Below are 7,016 nucleotides of genomic sequence, written 5' to 3'. Positions count from 1 at the left end.
GGACCCTGAAGGACACTCACATGTAATTTACATACTGCCAAGCTCCTAAGAGCCTCTAAATAAAGCCCCCGAGGGCTCCCAAGCACTATTTTTGAGGAGAAGGACATGCAGCGACAGATTACATCAAGTCTGCTACCCCAACACCAGGAAGAAAAGAAACCTCACCCTCCAGTTGCTGGGACATCTGCGAATGTCTTAAACTACATTCGCTGTCAGATGCTTCCCAGGGAAGCCGTGATTACATTGAAAACCATACACAGATGCTATTGTCTCTCATTTTATACAACTCCGCTGGTAACAGGTTTTTTTGCTCTGATTTTCATTCCTTTTCCAGATTCTAACCATAAAAAGTGTTTTAATCTGAAAGCACAAGGGAGGGGGTTTCACAAGGGCACTGTGCCTTCTGCCTGCAAATGTTAAATTACATTTGGTCACAACATGGTTATCATGCCAATAATGAGTTGGTCCATGCAGCAGCTATTGCAGGGTCTGAATGCAGATCCAGGAGACACACACCTTTAAGGGCAGGACAGGCTGATGGGAGGAGTTTCCATTCCAACTCTTAGATTTGGCTGCAGATTGCTCTGTTGTAATAAACATGACTAATTTTTACAATCTGACAAAATGGGAAGTAAAATTGCCAGAAAAGTGAGGCCTATGAGACCGTAAGTGGTTTAAACCTTACAGGTCCCCACTCCCCCAAAAAAACGGCACCTGTTTTGTTTTGTTTTGTTTTTTCTTTTTCTGCACAATTCGGAAAACTACACAATTTTTTGTTTTAAGTGAACCAAATAAAACAACCAAGTGAATACATGCTGGCACCTGAGCAAAAGGCCACTTACATGTCCACCGGTGCTTCTAAACCTTCTAGAAGCATGAAGATGGTCTGTCCCCAGCCCAGGAGACCCACAGGCAAAAGGATGCTTTGGCTCATGCACAACTTGCTGTAGTCTCAAATTTCTTTACTAGCTTGAACCACCCATTCAAATCTTAGAAATTACCTGAGATCAAGCAATGCTTTTATTTTTTCCACTACACTGTTCCCTTCACCCCCAACACTGAGCCAGGCAATAACATGCTCTCAGGAAATAAGGTTTGATTAATTGCTTGTAAGCAAGGAAAAGATATCCCATGCCTAGCACGCACCTCTGTGACGTGAATGAATAAATGGATGGATGGATGGGTGAATACAGAATGATATTTTAACCATAGGATATAATTTTATTCTCACAACCACCTTGAGAAGTAATAACAATAAAAGTTCACACCTATAATGTGCTGATTATATGCCGGCCACTATTCTAAATTTTTCATACATATTAACTCTTTTAACCCTCCAGAACTCTATGAAATACGAATGATTATTACCTTCATTTAGCAGACCAAGAAACTGTTGGAGACATATACAGGTCACACTGCTGGTAGGAGGCAAAGCCGAATCCTTGTTAGATGCTCTTAAGCACTATGCTTCTTTTCCCTTGGCTACATTTTATGAAGCAGAAAATGGAGGGTAGCAATCTTAATTTTTATTATTATTATTATTATTATTATTATTATTATTATTATTTTGAGACAGAGTGCCGTGGCGCAATCTCAGCTCACTGCAACCTCTGCCTCCTGGGTCCAAGTGATTCTTCTACCTCAGCTTCCCAAGTAGCTGGGACTATAGGCACGTGCCACCATGCCCAGGCTTTTTGTATTTTTAGTAGACATGGGGTTTCACTGTGTTAGCCAGGATGGTCTTGATCCCCTGACCTCGTGATCCGCCCGCCTTGGCCTCCCAAAGTGGCGATCTTAATTTGAACAAGGCTCCCCGATCCGCAGAGGCAAGCTTAGGGCTGCGTTCCCTGGCCAGTGTTAAATGGCAGAGCCAGAATGTGCACCCAAATAACCTGACTGTGAGTCTGCACGCTCAACTCCCAAGTAGCACATGTGGAATCAAGCGAGTCCACAGCAAATATGTGAGATCTGCAGAGGAGAGATTGTCCATGGGGTGGAGATAATAGGAACTGGGTTATTCAGCACTGTTCTCCCAAACTGAACGTGTTGTGGGGTCCAGGAAAGAAAGAGGAAACAAAAACAAACCTGGAAAATGTGGGCTGCACCCCAGTTCTCTTGAAATCATTTTGCTTTGGTTGGAGAAGGAGGAATGTGCTGGCATCTTCCCTTGTTTAGTTCCCAGGCATCCATTACAGCATGAGCAAAGTCCACAGCAAGACCTGGGCCCAGTTCTCAGCAAAAGTTACAGATATTACACCCTGAGCAAACTTCTGGGTGAATCTTCTCGAGGATTGGAATTTACTACAAAACATGTCAAAGAGTCTTGGGGAAGTGAGGAAAGCCAGGATGAAAGAGGGGAGGCCAGGACAGAAGGAGAATTTATAAACATGAAGAGGAAGAAAAGACTGGAACTAGTTGCTAACATTAGTGTGTGGGTTTGGGATTATGGCTTCAGGGATAATTGCTTCTGTTTTAAGAAGGCATAAGAAAACAGGGAGACACGGGTTTGGGGTTGGGAAATGTTGGTGTCTTAAATGTAAAACTCTATGTCAAACTGGATGTTGAGTTGAAGAGAACAATATTGTTAATGTGGCTGAAGAGACAAAGATAAAAATTGAAAGAAAGAAATTATAGTGCAATAATTAAGAAAGTTTAGTCAATCTGGGAAAAGGGGAAGAGGGAGAAGAGTGGGCTATCCCTGCCACACCCTTTTTTTTACCCCTTCCTTACTGACCACACATATGGAGCTGAAAAGGAAAGAATGTGGGTTTGAACTGAAAAGGTTGCACAGGATTGACGAATTGAAGTTCATTGTGGGGGCAGGGTAAAGCTACAAATGTGATTCAAACTGCAGCCCCAAGAAGCACCTCTCTCCATCAGGGAAAAAACAAAAAATGATCTTTGCTTAAAAGTCAGTAGCAAGAAACCCTGAGAAATATTCCCTATGAAAGTCATAGCTCAGCTGAGACTTGAGGGGTTTGTAAATTATCTATAATGTGAGTGACAGGCAGACCTTGCTCACAGCCAAGTGTCAGTACGCCAGCACAGTTCTGAAATCAGACCTTGCCATTTCATTTCCACCAAACAGAAACCAAAAGGTGCTTTTTCCTGCATGAAAACTGAGGAAGAGAAGCCATTCACCAGCAAGGGTTCACTGCACACAACTTTTTTTTGTAAAAACCAAGATGCACATCTCTGAGAATTTTTTATCTGTTCTTTAACAATGGAAGTTCTGCTGAAAAAGTGGCAGCGTAAATTTTTTTTAAATAAAACTTTGTTGCAAGAGATGTGCTAAGTTAGTTCATCCAGGAATGCCATAAGGAGGTCGTTTGAGGGGATCTCATTTATGAATGAAAGTGAGTTTCCTGGCAGACTACCAGTCTCTTCCAAATGCACACGCTCCGAGAACAGGACTCCACAGATCTCACACCTATTTCCAACAGAAGACACAGGAACTAACCACTATTCGCTGGATCCTAACTAAGGTCCTACTGGAGCGGCAGATGGGAATCTGTGCGTCCTGCTGGGCTTCCTGAACATCCTACTACTAGGTTCTAAGAATTAGCTACACTCTATTACATGGTGATAATTTTTTTTTCGCGCTCAGAAAACCGCAAAGGGATTTAACCAAAAGGAGGAAAGATTTTCTTTTTATAAATTCGATTAGCCTTTTCCACTTTCTCTACGTCGGGACATTTCCTCTGGGAGGAATTTCATACCCAGAGGCCCCTTGGCGAGGCACTGTTGCATGCGGGGCGCAGTGAATTTAAGTGCAAGACGCTCAACTGTGGACGGAAAGTCAAAATCGCAAGCACTTGCAGTCGCTAGCGAAGTCGGTTTCTTAATACCGGTGTAGGAACAGCCCTCCAAGCGGAGAAAGACGAACTTTGCCGCGGGCAGACAGTACGCGACTCTTGGCTCGGGCGCGCGCGGGTGGTTACCAAGCCCACCCTCCGCTTGCCACCGCTGAATTTCGCGCCCGAGCCGGCGCCAGGGCGCCCGGTCACGGCGCTGCACCCGGCGCCCGTCTGGAGATAGCCCTTGGTGGCGGGCGGCGGGAGTTCCCCCAAAAACCTGCGTTTTGCTGCTGGTATTGAACTGCTGGAGAGCGAGTGCGCCGAGGGCGCACAGTGTAGACTTGGCCAGGGGCGAGGTACCCACCCAAGCCTGCTCCATACTTCGGGTTCGAAGCCGCTCCAGTGTTCTAAGAGAGGTTAGGATTGAGTGACAGCAGTTCAGTAGGAAAGGAGTTTCTGAAACTCCCGGGGAAGCAAGGTCCCGGGGTTTGGAAAAATAACCGAATCTACGGAGAGCTTTCCAAACTTGATCTTTTTTTCTGTCATTTTTTTCCTGTTCTCCCCGCACCCCTCCCCCAACCCTAACTCCAACCCCAACCCCAACCCTAGTTAAGAGCCCTAAGGGCTAGAGGGTACAAGCCACCTCAACCCTTCCTTTTCCCTCTGCCCCCGCAAACTTTCAGACAAGGAAAATACAAATAAACCCCAGGTGGTTAATGCGGGTGCATTCAGGAACACCCCCCCACCAACACACACACATGCACACACACACACAGCTGGCCACCCGCTCTGTCCCACCCACCTCCGGGCAGGGGAGGGACTGGGAACCTGATCTCCGGGCTCCTGCCCCGAACTTTTCCCCATCAATAATGTTGATACCATCGATGTGCCTCGTCCCCCGCCCCCGGGGCGCCGCTGCCGCCTTTTCGCCGCTTTTTGCCTTGCTTAAGAAAACGAAACCTCCACTACTGCCCTTCTAGCCTCGGCCGGGGGCCAGCGGGGCCTTGAGCTGGGGACTGAGGAAACAGGGGTGCAGGGAGAGCACTTGGAGACGTCCTCCATTTCTGGGGTAGGGTGGCCAAGCACCGTCAACGGAACGGAAAAGAGGGTCTGGGGCCCAGGCAAGGCCTCATCCCAGGCCCCATCCCAGACCCGAGGTCAGATCGGGCCAGAATAAGATACTTTTGAGGGTAGAAGAACCAGGCCTCAGAATGCGCGAGCCTTGACGCCCCCCACGTTGCCCTTCGTAGGACCAGAGGTTGAGCAAAGAAGCCTGGAAACCTCATGGCTGGGACCCCAGTTGTGGCCTGCGGCCTTGGGGCACAGACCTTCGGCCCCGCCAACCCACCAAGGATACTCTAGGACTTGGGAAAACTAAGGGGACGTATTAGTAGGAACGAGCATCAATCCCCCAAGATGGGAGTTTGCAAAACTCGCCAAGCGCCTCCCCCGGGTGCGGTTCCTCTCCGCCAGTGAGGTCGCGACCCCGGCGCAGCTGCCGCCTCACTTCGGGCTATCCCCATTCGCTATTGCGGATCAGCCCCTAAGTACCAGGCCCTCTGGCGGAACCTGCAAGTCCAAACTTCGCTACCCGGATTCCCCAGTAGTCCCCCCCCCACCCCACCTCCACCCAGAGTTAGGAGGGTGCTACCGCACGTAGAGCGCGCAGGTCTCTGGGGTGAGCAGGGCGCGTGGAGGGACTCCAGGAGTGGCACCTCACTCCCGCTCGCCGCCTACTTTCGACCCGCACAAAAATAAAGAATAACCCCCACTCTGCTTCTGTTTTTATTGATGTATTTCTTTGCATCGCGGCACGCGGAGCCTCGCCAGCGCCCTGACACTGCAGCGCCCGCACCAGCGAACCACGGAACTTGGGACCGAGACAATGGCCCGTAATTGATGTATTGCCATCAACAATAAAGACCAATTCTCCTCTCCCCGCCATTCCGACCATCCCCCTCCTCCCATCCCCCCCTCCTCCACCTCCCATCTCCTTTCCCGGGGCCACCGAGGGAAAGAAAACAAACAAGAAATTAGCGGGGGACGCCAAGCGCAGATCGAAACGCCCGCCTCTACGCCGTCGAGGACGCAAAAAAACGAAAAAAGTTATTAAAGTTTGGATCCCCCAATTTATTCGTCTCTGCTCGCCCATTTTTAATTAAGCATCGCGTAGCTGCTTTTCGCATGTTCATTTCGTTTGGTTGTTTGTTGTGGTGTTTTTTTGGGGGGGGGGAATTTTTTTTTTTCCTACACTTAATCTTAAATCACACGTAGACCAAGTAACAAACACGTGTGAAGTTATTCCCGGGAGCTTCCTGCTGCGCACGCGGCGCGCACCAGGAGAAAAGCTTTGCGGGACCGCCAGCTCCGCTAGGTTCCTGGCTGCATGCGGTGCCCGGGAGGCCCGGACTTTCAAGAAGCCAAGATTGTTAGAGAAGGATGCGGGCGGCTCCAAACACGGGCACATTCCGGGAAAGGAGTGTGCAAGTGCACACAAACGCGTTCGTGTACCTGGGACAGTGTGGATTGGTGGGTGTGCGAGGACCCCTGTTTGTGAGATGGAGGCGGGTGCGGGATTTACACGTGCTCCCGTACACGTTCCCCGGGGTCTGGGAGATGCGAGCCGCTCACACCCCAGGAGTGCGCAGATCCATCTTTGCCGAGGGATCTCTTTAAATATTCAGTGAGAAATAATGGCATTTGAAGCACCACCTATGGAAACATTATTATCTTCATTCTTCAACATCAGCCCCACTGATAGCTTCGTTTGTCTTTTTATCAAAATCTACTGTACCCATCAGGACCTGGCGAGAACGGGAGAGCGAGGCGGAGAGGGTGTGAATGTGTGTGTTAGGGAGTGAGCGAGGGCAGAAGATAAGTAAGAGAAAAGGTGGAAAACGGACGAGCAGGGAGAGAGAAGGGAGAAGTTATACCAATAAAAAAAAATAAAGTCAGCAGATGAAAAACAGAAACATTCATCGGCACACACACACATTTACACCTTAAAAGAAAAGATTTAAGAAGCTAAGAGAAAGGGAAGGGTCCTCTACCGGAGCGCAGTACAGGTCCGGAGTACACGAAGTCGGCTCGGGAGACCGGTGCCCACTTCGCGCGAACCGACCGTGGCACCGGCCAGACTCAAGGGCGCTCGCGAATTGGGGCGTCCTTATGAGCCCTCTCCTTTCCTGATCGTGAGATAGGGCAGGGATTGTGTATCTG

At 49.0% G+C, this 7,016-nt stretch overlaps 2 annotated features.

The window, feature by feature from the left end:
• Window positions 3,483-4,471: an enhancer, noted in NCBI's record as "H3K4me1 hESC enhancer chr16:51189524-51190512 (GRCh37/hg19 assembly coordinates)". NCBI's record gives its function as "activates a minimal SCP1, AML or CMV promoter by ChIP-STARR-seq in primed H9 embryonic stem cells {active_cell/tissue: H9 hESC(primed)}" and the evidence as "EXISTENCE:reporter gene assay evidence [ECO:0000049][PMID:30033119]".
• Window positions 4,472-5,461: an enhancer, noted in NCBI's record as "NANOG-H3K4me1 hESC enhancer chr16:51188534-51189523 (GRCh37/hg19 assembly coordinates)". NCBI's record gives its function as "activates a minimal SCP1, AML or CMV promoter by ChIP-STARR-seq in naive H9 embryonic stem cells {active_cell/tissue: H9 hESC(naive)}" and the evidence as "EXISTENCE:reporter gene assay evidence [ECO:0000049][PMID:30033119]".

This window comes from Homo sapiens, chromosome 16 (genome assembly GCF_000001405.40).
Source record: "Homo sapiens chromosome 16, GRCh38.p14 Primary Assembly".
Taxonomy (NCBI): domain Eukaryota; kingdom Metazoa; phylum Chordata; class Mammalia; order Primates; family Hominidae; genus Homo; species Homo sapiens.
Note: the sequence above shows the minus strand (reverse complement) of the source record. Positions and strands in the feature narration are given on the sequence as shown.